The sequence below is a fragment of the Homo sapiens genome, chromosome 20 (genome assembly GCF_000001405.40).
Source record: "Homo sapiens chromosome 20, GRCh38.p14 Primary Assembly".
Classification (NCBI taxonomy): Eukaryota; Metazoa; Chordata; class Mammalia; order Primates; family Hominidae; genus Homo; species Homo sapiens.
In genome coordinates, this window is record NC_000020.11 from 51410728 (window position 1) to 51430622 (window position 19895).

Sequence of the window (19895 nt, forward strand, 5' to 3'; positions counted from 1 at the left end):
ATCTAGAGAGCATTCTAACACACTTAGGGCAGGAGAGTGTCACCTCTCAGAGAGGCCTTCCTTGATGACCCTGTCTAAAGTCTCTCCCCCAGCACCCTGTTTCTTTTCTTCATGGCATGTGTCACCAGCTGAAATCTATTTCTTTCTGGCATTTTTTTCTTCCTTACTAGACTGTATGAACCACAGAGCAGGAACCTCACTCCATTCACCCAGCACCTACCAATTTACCTGGCTGGAAGCAGGTGTTGATAGATGACAGTGGTGATGGTGATAATGATAGTGGTGGCAGTGGTGGTATTTGGTATCTACTGGGTATTTACTCTGTGCCAGGCCTTGTTCTAAGCAATCTACATGTACTAACCCACCCAATGTTCACAGTGACCCATGAGGTAAGTGTTATAATGATTACTCCCATTTTGCAGTTCAGTAAATCAAGGCTCAGTGAGGCAAAGGGCCTCGATCAGAGTTACGCAGGTAGCACGTGGCCGAGCAATGATTTGCATCCAGAAGTTCTGGTTCCAGGGCCTACCCTGGATTCCTGCCTTGCTGATAACATTTCATTTAATAGTAAAGACAGAAGCTTTTTTTCAGGCCTAAAGTGACCCTGAGTTAACCACTGAAGTTCAAGGAGGACCTGATTAAACCTAATTATTTCTCCTGCCCATACTAGCCCCAGTGTTCTTTATCCATGCACACACACATACACACACCCATACACACACACACAGTATAACTACACCTGGCCACACTACAAACCATAGTGCAAGGTCCTGAAGCAATGCAATTGTCTTTTTTTTTTTTTTTTTTTTTTTTTTTTTGAGACAGAGTCTTGCTCTTTCTCCCAGGCTCGTGTGCAGTAGCACAGTCTCAGCTCACTGCAACCTCTGCCTCCCAGGTTCATGCGATTCTCCTGCCCCAGCCTCCTGAGTAGCTGGGATTACAGGCGTGTGCCACCACGCACAGCTAGTTTTTGTATTTTTAGTAGAGACAAGGTTTCAACATGTTGGCCAGCCTGGTCTTGCACTCCTGACCTCAAGTGATCCACCTGCCTTGGCCTCCCAAAGTACCGAAATTCCAGGTGTGAGCCACCGCGCCTGGCCTGAAGCAATGCTCTTTGACTTGTTTTCTGCCTGGCACACAGTAGGCACTCTGCAGATGTGTTGAGTAGAACTGACCAAAGTGCAAGAAATTTGGGCCAGGATGCCAAACTTTCCAAAGCAGAGGTCCCAACCTCAGTGAGAAAACATCACTATTAAGAGCCCCATTAGGGTGAGCGAGCCCCTCTTTGAAATTCAAGGCCCCCATAGGAGGGAGCCCTAACCCCATTATCACACCCACCCAGCAGGAATTTACTTAACTGCTTTCCCTTCAGCTCCCCTTCCAGCCTTACAGAGGGGACCCTGAACAGCTAAGAACTCTGATAATAAGAAACCAAGGGCTATAAGATCTGGAGTTTGAATTTAGGGAATTCTTTCCAGGATAGGCCTGGCCAGAGCCTGTTTTGGTGTGAGCCCCCATGACTGGCACACTCTGGCATCACACAGCTGGGGGTGATTGGACTGGGGAAGGGGTCTGCGACCAAAAGGGGTGGCCCTCTTAGATGCAGCCAAGCCGTCTGCATTCTGAGTCACAAGGCCATCCTCAGAACCTTCTCCCTAATAGGAACAGAACAGGAAACTAGCATGCTGAGAGCTGCTGCCCCCTTCTCCACACGGGCCAGGGGGTGGGCAGGAGCAGGGAGTTCCAGTTCCTGGGCTGAGGCATGAATTTCTCAGAACCCTGGCAGCCTGGAAAACACAGAGCTGGTTTCTGTTTTCCACCCCCAGAAACAGCCTGTAACCACAGCAGGAGGGAGGCCCCGCTGGCCTGGTCGGGAGCACCCTGGCCAGGCCAGGATGCAAACACTGCTGCTGTTTAGAGAGGGAAACCCTGGCCGGCTCACATGCCCGATTCCTGGGCGTCCCCGGCCACCTCATACTCTCTGCCAGCTGGGTCCACGGGGATGCTATCTTCGGGAGGAGCAGGGAGTTGGAACGCAGCCCTCAGAACAGGGGTGCATGCCAGCTGGGCTAGACGTTTGGCATGCAAAGGGGGTGCAATCTCATGGGTCTCCCTGCAAAAGGAGTACTTCTGTGTCCAAAACAAGCTGGTGCCAAGCACAACAGAACAACAAGGAGCACAGGAGAAGGAGAAGGAGAAGCACAGGATGAGGCCGCCGACCCCACCCCCGCCCCACCGACCCCGGCCCCCCCATCCCCCGCTCCCGCCGCCCCCCCCCCTCCCCGCCAAACACATGGAGCCGAGTACAGTGTCCTGCTCTCCAGGCAGCCAGCTCCCGGGTTTCACAATCCTTTCCATGGCACTCGGGTTTGCTGTCACAACAACTGCAGGATGACCCGGTGCTGGGCAGCACTGCTGGCTGGAGGTGAGAAATCGATTTTCTCACCGGCCCAGTGGCCAGCACATTTTTGAGGTCATGCCCCGGCCTGGCCTGTGGAGTCCCCCAAGCATCTGCCTCTGTCAATCCACTGTGCCCTCTGAGGCTGGACTGCATGGCACTAAGAGGGCCCTGGGTTCCAAAGCCATCCTGCTGAGAAGAGATAACAGCCTGATTCTAGGACCAGGACACAGTCTGTCTCCTCAGGGTTTATTCACTGGCAAATCTTGTTAGCAGATGCTAGAGGTTTTTATTTGCACTCCTGAACTCCCAAAGAAACATATGGCATCTTTTTTCAAAAAAACCTAAAGAGGCGGGGTGTGGCAGCTCATACTGTAATCCTAGCACTTTGGGAGGCTGAGCTGGGAGGACTGCTTCAGGCCAGGAGTTCAAGACCAGCCCGGGCAACATAGTGAAACCCTGTCTTTACAAAATTAAGAAAAAACAGCCAGGAGTGGTGGCACACGCCTATAGTCCAGCTACCCAGGAGGCTGAGGTGGGAGGATTGCTTGAGCCTAGGAGTTCAAGGCTGCAGTGAGCCATGGTGGCACCAGTGCACTCCAGCCTCGGTGACAGAGCAAGACCCTGTCCCCTCCAAAAATATTAAATAAAAATTTTAAAATTAAAAACAAAACTAAAGAACATGTACAAATGTACTCACTTGCTGTGGGACCTTGGACCAGTTACTTAACCTCCCTGGGCTACAGTTTCCTCATCTATAAAATGCCTCTGCGGCTGCCATGAGGGTTAAATGAGCTAATGCAGCAAAGTCTTAGAAGAATGTCTGGTAAACAGTAAACATCTAAGCATGAGCTGCTATTATCATTATTGTTCTTTTGTGACAAATAGTTTTAAATCATTTTAAACCCAGGCAGTCTCGGTTCTCAGTTTCATGCCTGGTTATTCATTCGATACCACAAATATTGGGTGAGCACCTTTTATGCAGGAAGCTGAGCCAGGTCTTTGAGCAAAGGGTGGACGTCAGCAAATGTTGTCAAGGGCTTCCCATGTGCAAAGCCAGCCCAGGGGCAGTCAGCAGTGCAGACAAGTCACAGCATTTGTCCTCACTACCCAGAGACTCGAGCAAGGGAGAAAAAATAAATAAATAAATAAATGGAAACACCTGAAAGAGACCATGTTCATTTCCAGGACTTCAAGGCAAGAGAGAAACCCTCCAGGTGCAGAGCAGAGACATTGTCAGAGCCTTGGAACGCTGGCCAGATTTCAAAAGTCACAGCAGAGAGCCAGGCATGGTGGCTCACGCCTGTAATCCCAGCACTTTGGGAGGCCGAGGTGGGCGGATCACCTGAGGTCAGGAGTTCGAGACCAGCCTGGCCAACATGGCAAAACTCCATCTCTACTAAAAATACAAAAATTAGCCAGGTGTGGTGGCACACACCTATAATCCCAGCTACTTGGGAGGCTGAGGCAGGAGAATCAACTGAACCCAGGAGGCAGAGGTTGCAGTGAGCAGAGATTGTGCCACTGCACTCCAGCCTGGGCAACAAAACAAGACTCTGTTAAAAAAAGAAAAAAAAAAAGTCACAGGAGAGCAGGATTTCCAGGCGGTGGTTAAGGCATGGGCAAAGGTTTGGAGGCAAGAAAGCCTCCGCACAGCCGCAGTCATCCTCCCCTCACAGCTGAGGGGTGGGCGAGGCTGATCATGCATACACACAGCCGGAAACACAGCCCCAACCAGAACAGAAAGGTTTCTGTTTCTAAATCCTCATTTTCACTCCAGCCTCTGGGGTCATTTCTAGGACCTGAAATCTGCCCCTTTCTTTTTAAAAATTCTCTCCTAGGGGCTGGGCATGGTTGCTAATGCCTGTAATCCCAGCACTTTGGGAGGCCAAAGTTGGTGGATTCCTTGAGCTCAGGAGTTTTGAGACCAGCCTGGGCAACATAGTGAGACCCCATCTCTACAAAAAATAACTAGCCAGGTGTGGTGGCACATGCTGGTAATCCCAGCTACTTGGGGAGCTGAGGTGGGAGGATCACTTGGGCCTGGGAGTTTGAGGCTGCAGTGAGCCATGATCCTACCATGGCACTCCAGCCTGAGTGACAGAGTAAGACCCTGTATCAAAAAAAAAAAAAAAAAATTCTAAAAACACAATCAGGAGAAAGTCTCCCTTCTACTCTTGCTCAGTATTTCCTTGTGTGTCTGCATCTTATTAACAGACATTTAGCCTGTTTCTAGTCTCCTGCTACTATAGACAAGGCTGGAGTCAACATCCCACACACCACACGCAGCAGGTATCTGGATGGACCCGGCTTCCTGAAGACAGATGAGGCTTATTGTGGTCCCTGAGTAGTTGGCCACCACCTGTCTCTGGGGATCCAGGAAAACCAAGAGCTCCTGAAGTCACCAAGCTTCATGCCAGAGAACACTGTGCAGGGCTGGGGACCAGTGACATGGAATCAACAGCCAGCCTGGCTCACAGCTGGGCCAGCACACCTCTAAAGATACATTTCTAGAAGTGGGATATTCTGGATTAAAAGATGTGTGCATTCTAAATTTGGGTTCATTTCACCAAATTGCCCTTCAAAAGAGGTTCTACCCATGCAGATGCCCACCAATAATGACTGAGAGGACATGTTTCACACCCTCTCACCAATACCGCACTTTATCAGCCTCCCTTCCTTCCATTCCTCCTCCTCCTTTCCCTTTCTTTCTTGCCAATGTTGTCAGTCTCACAGGAGGAAAAACTGACCCTGGTCTGGAACAATCCTGCACCAAATACAGATAATGATGTTCAGATAATAGGAAGTCCAGGGAAAAAGAAAACAGTAGGAGTTTAAAAATCCCAGAGATAGCTGCCAGGTGTGGTGACTCGTGCCTGTAATCCCAGCACTTTGGGAGGCCGAGGTGGGTGGATCACTTGATGTCAGGAGTTCAAGACCAGCCTGGCCAACAAAGCGAGACCCCGTCTCTACTAAAAATACAAAAATTATCCGGACATGGTGGCACACTCCTGTAATCCCAGCTACTCTGGAGACTGAGGCAGGAGAATCACTTGAACCCTGAAGGCAGAGGTTGCAGCGAACCGAGATCACACCGCTGCACTCCAGTCTGAGAGAGAGAGAGTGAGACTCTGTCTCAAAATAAAAAAATCCCAGAGATAGCTGAGGGAATTGGTTCTGAAATGGTCCAGAGAGAAAACAGAGGAACCAGACCAGGACCCTCAGGACTCAGAGGACCTGCCGGCTCTGCCTGGGTAGGGCACAGCACCCACCTGGGATTCCCAGGGTGCCAGCTCCTGGCTTCTCACTCTGTCTGGCTGAAGGGGCTGCTCCCTCAAACAGGAAGCCATGATGAAGGGGTTTCACATCTGTCTGGAATAAAGGGCCCGTTCAAATCTGGGAGAGGCTACGTGGGGGCCAAAAACTGGTGAGAAGATATTAAAGGAGGGTTGGCACATCCCAAGTGCAGAGATGAAGACATTTCTGCAGCCCTGGACAGATAAAGATGAGGCTAAGAAGATGATGAAGCTGATAGCTGCTCTCTATGGAGTGCTGTGTGGCTGACCTGGTTATACTCACTTCTCATACATCATTTCCTTTAAACCTCAAGCACTGCTAATATCCCCATTTTGCAGATGGGGAAATTGAGGTCACAGACATTCAGTAACTCACCTAAGGCCACACCCCCAAGTTCCTTAGGCAACAGATGGGAGCTGAGCATGGGGGCCAGAGGGACAGTAGGGGCAGTAGCAAGAATTCACTTTAGCGCTGGTTGAATGTGAGGTTCCTGCAGGGAATCCACATGGAGGGCCCAGGAGGAGGTCAGATCAGTGGGTCTGGGGCAAAAGCCAGTTTCCTGGAGTCTCATCAGATGAAGGAGTGAAAAGGCAGGGGGAGCAGCCCAGGATAAATGCCCTATTCTCTTTATACGTGGACTCAGAATCACTTCTCACACACGTGCCTCTAACCACCCATTGCCTGTGCCTCTGGCTTTGTAACCTCAGACAAATCCCTCCCTTTTCTCAGCCTGCTTTCACATCTAAGATGCAGAGATGACCATCCCTGCCTTCCACGGCGCCCAGTAAGGGGGAGGGATCATTAGCATTGTTACAATATTTCCTGTACTTGTCAGTCTGGCAAACACACTCCCTCCAAAACTTCAACCTTCCACCTGCCAGTAGCTTCCCCTTCCTCCCAAAATAAAATCCATAGCTCTCAACCCGCGAGGCCTGTCCCCTCCATGCTCCCTTTCCATGACGCCGCCGTCATTACTCTCAACCACACCAGACCTCTCTCTGTCCTCCACACAAACCACGTTTCCTCCCAGCTCTGCCCTACGTGCTTGCTCTTCCCTCTGCCTGGAATTCCTTCCCCTCACTCTCTTCCTCCCGGTCTCAAATCCAAAGTCACTTCCTCAAAGAGGTTGGTCCTGACCACCCCGTTTGAAGTTATGCCCGTCCCCATCGTCACTTTATTGAACTCCGCACTTAGTCTCCACCCCCAACATCTGAAATTCTCATCATTTTCTGGTTGACATTTGATGAACAGCCTTCCCCTTGCAGAGCAAGCTCTGCCAGCAGGGAGGCCCCATCCATTTGGTTCACTTCTGTGTCCCAGCACCTACCACCAAGCCCAGCTCACTTTACATACTCAGTGGATATCTGTTCAAAGAAGGAAAGAACACCAGTTGATAAGAAACAAACCAAAAAAGCAAATGCTCAGCAACACGCCCCCTGAGCAGTTCCCGAGGCAGCCAGCCTGCCAGCTGAATGCTAAAGGAGGCGGCATCCACATCACAGCATCAGCCCTCCCTGGTACCCGCGGGGCACCGGGCAGTCCGTAAGTCACTTTTCACACATGCCTCGCCCAAGGCCACAAGCAAGGAAGAATGAAGGCTCTGAATCAAGCTTCCTTTGACACTAACTACTCAGCAACATCTTCTGACCCTGGGGCCCCTGTCCTGGGTGCTGTACTAGGGAACAGGCGGTGCCATGGGGAGACACTAGTTCCCGGTGGCTTCCCACACTCAGAGAGTGCTAGGAATGCTCCAGTCCACCAGTAACAATCTTTTTGTAGAGTGGACACTCCTTCCCCGAAACACACATGGTGTGGTCAGCACTCAATATTATAAAGCTGTTACTTCTACCAGAGCTGGACACTAAATCCTTCAGATGGTGGTTCTTAACCAGGGGCAACTCTGCCCCCCAGGGGATACTTGGCAGTATCTGCAGACATTTCTGATGGCCACATCTGGGGTGCTACTGGCATCCGGTGCATTGAGGCCAGGAACGCTGGTACACATCCTTTCATGCACAGGATAGCCCCTCACAACAGAGAATAATCCAGCCCGAAATGTCAGTAGTGCTGAAGCTGAAAGACTTGCTTCAAGAGAAAAGGTAATAAGAAAATGTTTTGAGATTCCTGGACTGACCGTTAGGAGAGGAGTTTCCTGAATTTGGGGAAAATTGGCAATAACTGGACATTTAAGGCCTCACCCTCATTCTGTTTTAGGTTTTCTTTTGTTGTTTGTTTGGTTTTTTTTTTTTTTTTTTTTTGAGACGGAGTCTCGCTCTGTCCCCCAGGCTGGAGTGCAGTGGTACGATTGCGTCTCACTGCAACCTCTGCCTCCCAGGTTCAAGGGATTTTCCTGCCTCAGCTTCCCTAGTAGCTGGGATTACAGGCGCATGCCACCACATCCAGCTAATTTTTGTATTTTAAGTACAAATGGGGTTTCACCATGTTGGGCCAGACTGGTCTTGAACTACTGACCTTAAGTGATCTGCCTGCCTCGGCTTCCCAAAGTGCTGGGATTATAGGCGTGAGCCACCCCCACCGCCCTAGGTTTTCTTTATAGTACGTATTTACCACCTGACATTATAATATATATTTATTTCACTGTTTGTCTCACCAACTAAGAAGTACGCTCCCTGAAGGCAGAGACTCTGTTTCACATGCTGCTGTGTCCTCACTGGCACACAGTAGGGATTCAATAAATATTTGTGGAATAAAGAAACTCCTAAGAATATCAAGTCATACAAAATATCCAACCTCCTTTTGCAGCTGTTTTCTCATTATGATCATATCTATCCTGCACAAAGACCCCAAATCCATTCTCCTGTCTTCCACAGTAGCAGGTTTCAGCTATGCACATGACTGGGTAATATAAATATAAAAACTATACTTCCCAGCCTCCTCTGTGGCTCAGTGTGGTTACATAACAAGACTCTGGCCAATACAGTATTAGCTGAAGGGATAAATGTGATTTCTGGGTTACGCCCTTAAAGGAAAGGGCGTGCCCTCCTTCCTCTTTTTTCCCATCCAGGAGCCATCTTGGATGACTCAGATGAGGGTACCATCCTGAGAATGGAGAGTGATAAGACAGAAAAAGCCTGGGTTCCTGGTATGATGGGGCCAGCATACCAGCCATGGACTGCTTATCCCTGTGCTGTTACAAGAGGAAGAAATCATCTATCTTGTTAAAGTCATTGTTACTTTGGGTTTGGTTACAGCAGCCTCTACATCCTAATCAATACCCTCTAATAATCCTCCCAATAACCTCCCCTGCCTTGCAAGCACTAACTGCTTTGGAATCACGCTCAAAGACTCCATAACACCGCAAGGAGTATCTCAGCAGCTGGCATTCGAGAGGGATTTCATGATTTCCCCTTCTCACGTGTAGGAGATGTGATCCTCAGTTCACATGTAGGATTATTTCCTCCCTCAGGCTTCAGAATATCTGAGGACATTGCTAAGCCAGAGAAAGAAAGGACAGGAAGTCATATTATTTCAGTCCTTCAAATGATAAGGACAAAAGGAACTACCAAAAAAAAGCCCATTAAAATCTTAAAACACCAATTATGCTTAAATTCATGAGTTCATAATGGTACCAAAAAAAAAAAAAGCAACTACACACAAACAACCGTAATGGATCATCACTGTAAGATATTAATGAACCAACCCATTATTTTAAAAACTGGTAAATAAAGGGAAAGAATCAAGCATTCATCCTGCTTTTCCTATATGAATTCTATCATTGTTGATGAAGGAAAGTTTCTCTTTATAGAAGTTTTCCAGCTAACAGTAGAGGAAGGGATGGCAGAATTAGAATAGAATATCACCATTTTATAATTCATGCACCACTGAATTAATGGAGCAAGGCACTGACTATCACCAAAAGACAGGCAACCCAACTCCACGTACCTCCTGTCAGAAGGATGTGTCATCACCCATGAAGCAATCTTGCCAAAAACAATTGAATCTGAATGAATGAAGCCTCTCAGTTTTACTGCTAACTTACAGGACATACAGAGGAGACAGGAACACACTAAAAACCTCATCATGGAGATATAACTGGCAAAAGCCAGACTGAAAAATTTCACAGGATAAACAACCTCATTTTTTCAACAAATAAATTGCAATATAATACTAATGATGAAACCAAAAAAGGATCTTATTATTTAATCTAGAGGAAGAACCTCTAGATTTAATCTAGGGGAAGAACCTCCCCATCAAACCAGACTTAAAACAAAGGCATCTGCTTGCAACGCTTGGTCTGACTCCCGACGCAAATGAACTATAATAAAAACAAAGAAGAAAACACTTTTATGATATTTATATATAAGACAACCGGAAGTTTAAACACTAGGTATTTCATGATATTAAGGAAGTATTATTAATTTCCATGTGTGCTAGTGGTCTTGTACTTTCAGAGTCCTTTTTTTAGAGATACATGCTATTTCTACACGAAATTATAGGATGTCTAGGATTTGCTTCAAAATATTGCTGTGTAGCTAGGCACCATAGCAGGCACCTACAGTCCCAGCTATGCTGGAGGCTGAGGCAGGAAGATTGTTTGAGCCCAGGAAATCGACACTGCAGTGCACCATGATTACACCTGTGAATAGCCACTATGCTCCAGCCTGGGCAACATAGCAAGACCCTATGTCTTAAAAAAAAAAAAAAACAAAAAAAACTAATAACAACAAACCCCCAAAACAAAATTACCAGGTAATGAATATAACAGGATGAAGGTGTAGAAGAAATCAGATTGGCCATGCATTGATAACAGCTGAAGCCTCGTGGTGGGTATGTAGGGGTACCTTGTACTATGCTATAGTTACATATGTTCAAAATATTTAATTAAAAGTTTTAAAATCTTACCCCCATTTAAAAATCTTCCCCAGCCACAAGGAGGGGAAGGAAGGTAGAGGGAGGGAACACTTTCGAAGGCCCCGGCCGGATGCAGGTCCTGGATTAATGAGCCTTGGATATGTGTGGCACTTCCGTAATGGGGGCACAATTCAAACGCCTAATGGGTCCAGATAGGAACCCTGAATGAGTGAAATCGGTGAAGTCTAAGAGGAACAACAAAACAAGTGTGAAGATAAATAACAATGGACAATCCACCTATCGTCGGAAGACAAAAGGGAATGGCGGGGGCTGTGGACAGAGCAAGTGGATGTTCCAACTAAAGGAAGTAGCCTCTGCTCAGGGCCAGCCTTGGTTTTGACTCCCAGTAGCTGCCATGCAGGAGGTGGGGCCCAAGGTGGCTAGATCCTTGGATTTTCTAAGCAAAGTCAGAAATCCCTATTTTTATGTGCAATCCCCGGTTTTTCAACACTGGCATCTAATCAAAATATTTTTTCAAATACCGTGTGGGCCAAACAAAATATCTGCGGGCGAAATGCAGCCCATGGAGCACCAGTTGGCCGCTCCTTTTCCAAGTGCTGAAGCAGACCACAACTCAATCCAGTTGGGGAGAGGGTGCTTTCATCAAGTTTGGGTCAATTCTTTTTTGGGCATTTAATAAAGCTGAGAATTCAAAAGACACCATCAACTTCCAGAAATCTATAAGAACCGGCTGCGGAACATTTCAAAGGCGTCCTCCACGTCATCAGCTTATGCAACAGAACCTCTACTTTGCCCAGAGTTTTGGAAATTAACAACGAGGGAGTGTCCTTTCAGCTTTCCTGGGATAGTGGAACTAACAGGCTTCAGATGAAACCTATTTGTTGGTTTGCAGACAGCCTGGGACTTAAGTCCAAACTGCTCGCAACAGACAGTCCTGCCATAAAACCAAGTTGGGGTGCTCAAGGCTCATCATAAAATGACCAGAGAATCCACTTCGGCTGCCTTGCCAGAGATCTGATTTTATGACTGTTTAAAGGGATGAGACAGATGTCATCCCCAAACCTGAGAGCAGCAGAATTTGTTGCTGAGGACCAGAACGGACTCCTTCAAATTCAGCCCTCAGTTTGTCTTTGACTTCATCTAGAGAAAGATTCTTGACACTCTGGATGGGCAAAACAGGCCCCAGCCCTGCGTCTATTCACAGGCACAACTTGACCAGATCCCTGGATCCATAAAAAATTAAAGAGGTGTCAAAAATGCAGCAGAGAAGAGCCAAATAAATGGTTTCATCATTCCCCAGGAAGAAAACCCCTCTTTTTTTTTTTTTTTTCTGAAAGGGTGGAAACTAAAGGAAAATTGGTGCTAAAACAAAGTTGAACTGGTTCAGAGCAAAAAGAGAGTCCAGAATGTTACTTGAAGGCAGCACACACCAAAACACACCCAAATCTCAAGTCTAGGAATGACTGGCAACCACAGCTACTTCAGGGCAGGGGGCTTTCATTTGTTCTTTGTGGGTTTTCCCCTGGGAAAACAAAGCTTTGCCCTTGATCCAAAATGGGTTTATCAAGGGTGGGAAGGGAAGGAGCACAGAGAATAATCTAGTGTATGAAATGAGTTGAGTAACTGCCACCCAATTCATAGACTAAAGTAACCAAATTCTTTTTCAAGTTCTACATTTCTAGAGAGAAACAGACTACAGCTAGCGCTGATATTAGAAAGTTATGTAGATTTTTTAACATTATGATATTCTGGCTGGGCACAGTGGCTCACGCTTATAATCCCAGCTTTTTGGGAGGCTGAGGCGAGAGGATCACTTGAGCCCAGGAGTTCGAGACCAGACTGGGCAACATAGCAAGACCCTGTGTCTCTATAAAAAATAAAAAGTTGAGCCAGGCATGGTGGCATGTGCCTATAGTCCCAGCTACTGAGAAGACTGAGGCAGGCAGATTGCTTGAGCCTGGGAGGTTAAGGCTGCAGTGAGCTATGGGGGCACCACTGCACTGCAGCCTGGGTGACAGAGTGAGAGACCCTCTCTCAAAAAAAAAAAAAAAAAAAAAAAAGGATTATCTTGGGTTGTGGCTGGAATCAGGGAAAATCCATTGCAGTTTCCAGCCCCACAAGTTATGCTGCTGAAAACCATCACCTGAGTGGCGGCATCATCCTGAAATGAGTGAGGTAGCTGGCATGGTACATCCAGCATAGCACACCCACAGAGCAGGGAAGTGAGTCTTAGCCCTTCTGCCCTGTGTTCTAGTAAGAATGAAACTACAAAGGAGGGCCTTTAAAATTGGTTATGATGCTGACCTACCCATAAATCTTGCTTAAAGGAGCACCTCACTCTTTCACAAGGATATTCACCTGTTACCACAAGAGAATAGCCTCATTTGGAAATTAAATGTAGCATAAACAATTCAGAACAATTAAAAGTGCTGGTTCCAGCAGATGACTGGGAGCCCACGAATGACACTGGATGCTGCCTCTCACTTGGTCCTCTTTTTTAGGAGCTGTCTGCTTTTGGTAGGAAAGATGCTGCTCTGGAATGAGGGCTGCGTGGACAGCAAGTCTGGGAAGGGACTTTCTTGTGGTTTGGTGGCTTCTGACCTCCAAATGCAAGTGCACATTCCTTTGGAAACACTTGCTTTGCAGAATTTCAAAAAGATCACTGAGCGTTTCTGGGTCTGGAGTCGGCTGGAACGTAGCTCTCTTACATAAGCCAGAAATGCAGAGTCCACATCATTCGGGATGAAAGGACAGCTAAGTGGCACAGCTTGAAATCTGACATTCTTAGAAAGGGAGGGGAAACAAGAGAGGGAAACGAGAGATGCCCCAGGGACAGATACCTGCATATCGTTTAGGCACCCAGGAGAGGGACAGAGAACGGCTACCAGCTCAATTCAATGATCTTCCAACAGCAACTCTTGCAGATTCTGTGGGCTCCTCTGTAGGCAACCACAGTTTTCTGGACTTTGACATTTTCAAGACTCAAACTATCCTTTGCTGAACCTTTGCTGAATTTACAGAGGTAGCCTGACAACATACTTGAGAATTCAGGCCAAGAGTCAGCCTCCTGGCTCTTCGTCAGAGCCTAGCTCTGCCCCTGCCCCTATAGCTCACAACTGACAAGGAAGAGGAGGAGGAGGAAAATGTCACTGCGGTTAGGGGAAGAAGAGTGATCAGCAACTACTGAACCCTCACCGTGCGCGTCTGGTACTGGGCAAAGAGCTTTACAGGACGCCCCCATTTTCATTCTTACGGTAACCCAGAGAGTCGGGCACCATTATAAGTGACTTGGCCAAAGTTACAAAAGAGGGCAGTGATGAGGCCAGACTGAGAGCCAGGCAGGACAACCACAGCAACTCTTTGCCAGACAAATCCTAGAACTGAGGCTGGGCCTTCAGACCAACCATCCAATTCCTGAGAATGGGTCCCCATTGACCAAATGACAGGTACAGGACAAATCGTCAGCACTGTGGGTAACAGCAAGTGATACGGAAGTTTCCACCCATGGGGGACCTGTGTGTACGTTTTACCACCTTTTGTAGAAAAGGGGAAAATAAGAATACATGTGTATTTGCATATGCTCGGGATTACATTAAAAAAAAAAAAACCCTAAAGCATTCATCCTCAAGGTGGATGACGTTGCTTCCACGGGGGTAAAAATTGGTTCTCTGCGGGAGGGGTGTTGAAAAAAATCTTCCATATGACAATGCTTTGTGGCCCTGCAAAGGGCTATGGTACATGAACAGACACATTGTGTGTCTATAGCACTGACATTTCATGGCATGGAGATTAGGAAAAAAATTGTCTTAAAAGGCTCCTGGCTGGGGGTGGGGGGTTGGTAATAATGAAACAAAGGTTGAGAAATAATGTTCTAGGAGGCTAGAGAAAAACCAGTATTAGAGAGCAGACCAGAAGGGGGAAGACATCTTCTGCTGGATGTCTTTTTTATATATTTTTCCTAAACATAGGAACATATTACCTATATAAAGATACATTTTTAAATGAAGGCAAAAAAAGGACGCTGGCAAAAGCCCTCCCAACGGGGGCCTGGCCTTTTATTGGTGTCGGCTCCAGGTGGCCATGTGAGTTAAACCTGCTGCTGGCGGTTTCTGGTGGTTACTGGTGTACCAGCAAGGCCTACGCTGAGATACTCAGACCGGGCTCTCCAGGTGCCCACAGCCTCTGGGCCACTTGGCTGGGCAACTGCCTGGCTCAGTTCTCATCAGCACAGAGACTCCCTGTGTCTCACCCTCTGTCGGCACCAGGAGGCCCAGCCCTGCCGGGGTCATCGTGGCTGCCGGGCTCACGGCAGGGCTCTGCGGTGACCAGGCTCCGCGTGGGCTTTGCACGCCTCCCCACACAGGAGCCGCTTTGTCCCAGGCTTGCCGTGGGCACTGAGGGGCCCTAGTGAAAGATCCCTGAACTGCTGAACAAAGCAGGCCAGTTACAAAACACTTTTCCATCGCTGGGTTCCTTTCCCTGCTTCCTGAGCTTTGGAGGGTGGGTCTCTCTGTTCATTCCTCCCCCGCCTGTTTCTCACGCATTGGTGCACCCAGCTTCTGCGTAGAGCCTTTTCAAAGCACATCCATGGCCCCTCTGCCAGAGGCACAACTGGCAAAACCTGGGCCACTGGTCCACACTCCTCCAGGGAGCCATGGCAGGGGATACACTCACTGGAGTTCTCAGCAGCCCCCGGCGAGGACATCATCTCCCTCATGCAGATACACATCCTGAGGTCCCCTGGAGGAAGCGGGGGGAGGGAGCCTTGGGCAGTGCTCTGGGGCTACGTCCACTCATCTATCCCATGGAAGAAGCAGGGCATGAGGGTGAGGAAGCCCATCTCCAAAGATCAGAGTAGCCCATTTTTTCTCCTACACAAATAGATTTTTAAAATTTGAACCATGTCCTACAAGAAATCAAGGCAATTAAATTCATAAACAAGGCTGGGCATGGTGGGTCACAGCTATAATCCCAGCACTTTGGGAGGCCGAGGGGAATGGATCACCTGAGGTCAGGAGTTCGAGACCAGCTGGCCACTATGGCGAAACCATGTCTCTACTGAAAATACAAAAATTAGCCAGGCGTGCTGGCAGGCACCTGTAGTCCCAGCTACTTGGGAGGCTGAGGCAGAAGAATCACTTGAACCCAGGAGGCAGAGGTTGCAGCGAGCCAAGATCATGCCACTGCACTCCAGCCTGGGCAACAGAGCGAGACTTTGTCTCAAAAAAAAAAAAATCATAAACAAAACAGCAGATCACATTTATGGAAGATCCCTTTTATTGACATGCACTAACTCATCATCCTCAGCACAGCCTTTGAAGGGAGGAACTGTGACTGTCTCATTCTACAGATGGGGACATGAAGGCACAAGGCAGCAAGTAACTTGCCTGAGGTCAGAGTCAGTGATGGAGCTGACACTCAAGACACAAAAGAGTCATGAAATCTGACTTTTGTTTGTATAAAAAGGCAACATGAATCTCTGGAGTTAGAAGGCAGGATGGTGGTCACTTTTGTAGAAGGGAAAGGGACATCTGGGGGCTTCTGGGGTGCCAACAAGACTGTCATAATCCAGGTGGCAATTCTGTGGGTGGCCCGCTTGTGAAATATACAGAATGCACTACTGATTTCTGAATGTGCACATAATTAAGCACTTTACATGAAGAACAGGGCAGAAGTAGATTTAAGAATAAGCAGACTGATTTGTGCCCTCCCTGCACACATCAATATACTCTCTCTCACACACACAAGCTGCTATCCTCACAAGTCACTGCAGGGGCTGCAGCCATCACCGAGACCACATCCTTTCTTTTCTGGACGTTTCCAGAACGGGGTAAAACATCTCCTTTGAGTCCCAGGCCACACCCCTGCCCCCATGTTCTCTCATCTGTGGCTGAGTCTCTGGGCAGCTGTAGTAAGCTCTCTACTTCAAAACCTGTGGTGGGTTTGGTGGTGAGATGGCCCGATGACCTCTGCACCCCCAGTTCAGCTGTGGAGTCAGCACAGCTCCTAGAATGCACCACAGAGCGCTAGTAAAAGTCACCTCTGAGTCCACTTTCCCCAGCGCCTCTCCCGCTTGCTTGCGTCCTGAGTGGTAAAAAGTGCAGCCGCCCCTCATTTTATGCAAGGGAAGCTGAGAATTACCTGTGTATTGATCACATTTGGGCAATTCCAGTTGCATTTTAAGTAACCGCGCTCATGACAGGGCCTGCGGGGCACACTCCCTGTGAAATGCACCGCCTTCCATCATGCTCCTGTCACGGGATTCGTTTTCAATTCACACATCCCCCTTTTTTCAACCCTTGACTCCCTATAGTCCATTTCGCAAAGGCAGCCAGAGTGATCTTCTCAAACAGTAAATCAAACCACGCTGCACTGCTGCTGAAAGCCTGCGGGAGCAAGCCCACGTCTCCGAGTTCACGGCCTCCGCCACCTGCGTTCCCTCTCCCTGAAACACTCTTCCCTCAGACCTCCCCAGGTCTGCGTCCATCCCCAAAGGCCGCCTCTTCAGAGTGGCCTTTCTGTACACTCATCTGCAGGGGCCAACCTCACCCCCAAACCAGGCAGCCACCCTCTCGCTCCTAACCCCGTGGAATTTTCCCTGTGGCTTTCATTGCTGTCTGAATTTCGCTTGCTTACTTACTGCCTTCCATGCTAATGTCTGTCTCGCTTACCTACTAAACAATCACCGTGAGAGCAAAGATTTCATTTCATTTGTTCACTTAGTGGATCCCTAAGTCCCAGAACAGTGTCCAGCACAGAGTAGACAGCCAGAAAATACTAGTGGGTGAGAGGGAAGGAGGGTCAAGGACAGAGAAGTCAAGGGTCAAGGACACAGAGGAAGGGAGAGAGGGAAGAAGGAAGGGTTAAGGACAGGGAGGGTTGGGGAGGACAGAGGAATAGGGGAGAAAGGTAGGGAAGAATGAGGTCCCAGAAGCAGCTACTGCTAGGAGCTGCTGGTGTTCCCCAGGTACAATTTGGGGCCTTAGAACAAGGGACTAGTCACGGAAGGGGGATGACAGCAGAGAGAACGCAAGTGACGGTGTATGAACCATATGTTTCTGAAGAGCTGTAAGAAAGTGCCTGAATTGGGGTGGGTGGAGAAACACGGGGCTCAGGGGAGTGCATGCCTTGGGCCCTGGAATATTACTTATTTTGCTTTTCCAAAGAGACTTCTTGAAAACGTCTCAAGTACTCGGAGTGGAGAAAGCAGAAGGAGCGCCTTGGTGTTCCAAGAACAAACGGGGCCAAGCCAGCCGGCGTCTGTGTGCAGGAATGCAGGCGGGAAGGGCTGAGATAAAGCACAGATGCCCCATGAGGGAGCGGGGTGGAATGCCCAGACGCGACGCTGGGATCACTGGCCAAGGTGCAGGAAACGATAACTCAGAGCCGGGGGCTTCCCTGGACCCCAGGGCAGGGGCGGGATCAGCTTCAAAGATGGTTTGTTTGCACTTGTGCGGGGGAGGGAGGACCTGTGTGTCCACTGGTGACTGCTTCCTTTTCCAGCCACAGAACCTTCCCTCAACCCTCAAAACGCATAAGCCCAGCTCTTACAAAGTTTCCAAGGAAAGCCCACTTTGGCAAAATCCCAAGGGAAATAAATGACAGACCAGAAATGCCCACGCACAGGCAGCACAGCACGCTGGGGTTTAGCACGGGCCCCGTGCAGCCAAATATGTGCCGTGTGCGACAGACTCCCTTGAAATCATAAACGAAAGGGACAGAAAAGGACCTAAAGACCAAGGAAGTTGCCCCACCAGACACCAAAGGAATGACCCAGGGGATTTTCCAGTTTACTTGTCAGAAATAACACAACACAGCAAACCAAGACGTCCAAATCTCATATCCCTAGAGCTGATGGTGGCATATCTGGAATGTTCCACGGATGCACGGGCTACACAGACTAGCTAGGAGACGGGCTAGGAGAATTTGAAATTGCAGCAGTTCAGAGACAAAACTGCACCCACATCTTGGTGGCTACGGTGGAGATGCAGTCTGGGGCTTGCCACTGGGCACGAGCCACCAGGGGACCTGCCCATTGGAGGGTCCTGGGGTGGGCAGAGCCTTGGAGACAAGGCCGGTGGAGCACTGAACATAACTAGTGGCACTTGCTGCCTTTTGGAGGCCACGTGGGTGGAAACCATTCCACTGCCCCATCCAGCTCTGGCCTCAGGAATGTGCAGCCCCCAAATTGAGAAGCCGGACTATGGCACAGGGGACAGGGCAGTGCTGCGCTTCAGAGCTCTTGAGCTTCCTTTATGTTATTTCTGCCAAGTATCAGGAAAAGAGCTTCTAGGCCAGCTGTGTAGCACGACTCCCGGGCCTCCATTCTTGCAGAACACAGTACAATCCAGTGTGGACATCACCACCTGGAGCGTGCGATGCGCTCTCCTTTGTGCTACACCCCCGCATTTTAGAGACTTATAATGTCCGCTAGCAGGATAAAGACTCTCAGAAGTCCTGCAACAAATAATTAAACAAAAGCAAAAACAAAAAACTTGGTTTAACCTAGTTTTTTCATCTTTTAAAGCCATGGAACCCTCCTTCAGAAAATAGCTCCTAACATCCCATGGGCTGGGGTCATACAGCATGTACCTAAATTTCACCTCGCTCGGTTCTCTGAGACATCCTTAGAGCTGACTCAGGTTTGGACCTAGCGGGACTCCCCCTCACCACGACTTTGAACCTGCCTGCGTTGAGAAAGGGCCTCAGGAGGCCCAAAAGGGTCTCGGTGCTCAGCTGCTTTCTCTGTAACATAAGCTTCTTTGGAAACGGCAAGGACATCTGTGGATCCGGGGCTGCCATAGCCAGTCATGACCACCTCGGGCCACTTGGACACGGGTGCCCCAATATCCAAGGCACTCACCATTTGCCTTTAACAAGGGATGGACAGGGTAGGAGAGGCCAGTGTGTTTCTCGCTCTGGAGACCAGACCAGCCCTAGGTGCAGAGTCAGCTGGGGAAAATTATCCAGCCCTGCACAGACACTCATTTATTTATAAAGCACCTCTTCTCCAATACAATCGATCCCCCAGGGCCTCACGTGGAGAGGGATCTGGTTACGACCATGCTTCATTGATCCTCCACGTTCTGCCTTAGTTAATTCTCTACACGATTGCCCCCTTGAAAATAAGCACCAAAACCTTATCTTCACCATTGTGAATGTAAATTGTTCAAGGATGGATTGTATGCAGGTGTCCGTTTCAAAACAGAGCACCATGACTTTAACTCAACCTGTGCTTGATTATTCAGGATCAAACGGATCAATTATTAACAGAGCAATACCTAGAGGTCAGCCTTGTAAGGCACGTGGGGCAGGATGACCCTACAAGAAGTGGCCCCAGAGGTCTTTGCTTGGTGAATTCAGGGGA

At 48.6% G+C, this 19895-nt stretch overlaps 1 protein-coding gene across 12 annotated transcripts in view, besides 4 other annotated features; it reads right to left on the reverse strand.

The window, feature by feature from the left end:
* Positions 1 to 19895, reverse strand: part of NFATC2 (nuclear factor of activated T cells 2) — a 175877-nt gene that overhangs the window by 23765 nt on the left and 132217 nt on the right. For 3 of the 12 annotated variants that reach the window (XM_011528826.3, XM_011528825.3, XM_011528824.3), the window contains exon 10: positions 3936 to 10752. The exons of the other annotated variants lie outside the window; for them this stretch is intronic. In XM_011528826.3, coding sequence (XP_011527128.1) covers positions 10652 to 10752 — 101 coding nt within the window. In that variant the 3' untranslated portion in view covers positions 3936 to 10651. Of the gene's footprint in view, positions 1 to 3935; positions 10753 to 19895 lie in introns of those variants that run through there. 12 annotated transcript variants of the gene reach the window in all.
* Positions 7465 to 7759: a silencer, noted in NCBI's record as "tiled region #9422; K562 Repressive non-DNase unmatched - State 15:Elon". NCBI's record gives its function as "represses a minimal TATA promoter and a strong SV40 promoter by Sharpr-MPRA in K562 cells {active_cell/tissue: K562}" and the evidence as "EXISTENCE:reporter gene assay evidence [ECO:0000049][PMID:27701403]".
* Positions 12554 to 13386: an enhancer, noted in NCBI's record as "OCT4-NANOG-H3K27ac hESC enhancer chr20:50039818-50040650 (GRCh37/hg19 assembly coordinates)". NCBI's record gives its function as "activates a minimal SCP1, AML or CMV promoter by ChIP-STARR-seq in primed H9 embryonic stem cells {active_cell/tissue: H9 hESC(primed)}" and the evidence as "EXISTENCE:reporter gene assay evidence [ECO:0000049][PMID:30033119]".
* Positions 14273 to 14865: an enhancer, noted in NCBI's record as "H3K27ac-H3K4me1 hESC enhancer chr20:50041537-50042129 (GRCh37/hg19 assembly coordinates)". NCBI's record gives its function as "activates a minimal SCP1, AML or CMV promoter by ChIP-STARR-seq in primed H9 embryonic stem cells {active_cell/tissue: H9 hESC(primed)}" and the evidence as "EXISTENCE:reporter gene assay evidence [ECO:0000049][PMID:30033119]".
* Positions 14858 to 14907: an enhancer, noted in NCBI's record as "active region_18111". NCBI's record gives its function as "activates an Ori minimal core promoter by ATAC-STARR-seq in GM12878 lymphoblastoid cells {active_cell/tissue: GM12878}" and the evidence as "EXISTENCE:reporter gene assay evidence [ECO:0000049][PMID:35858748]".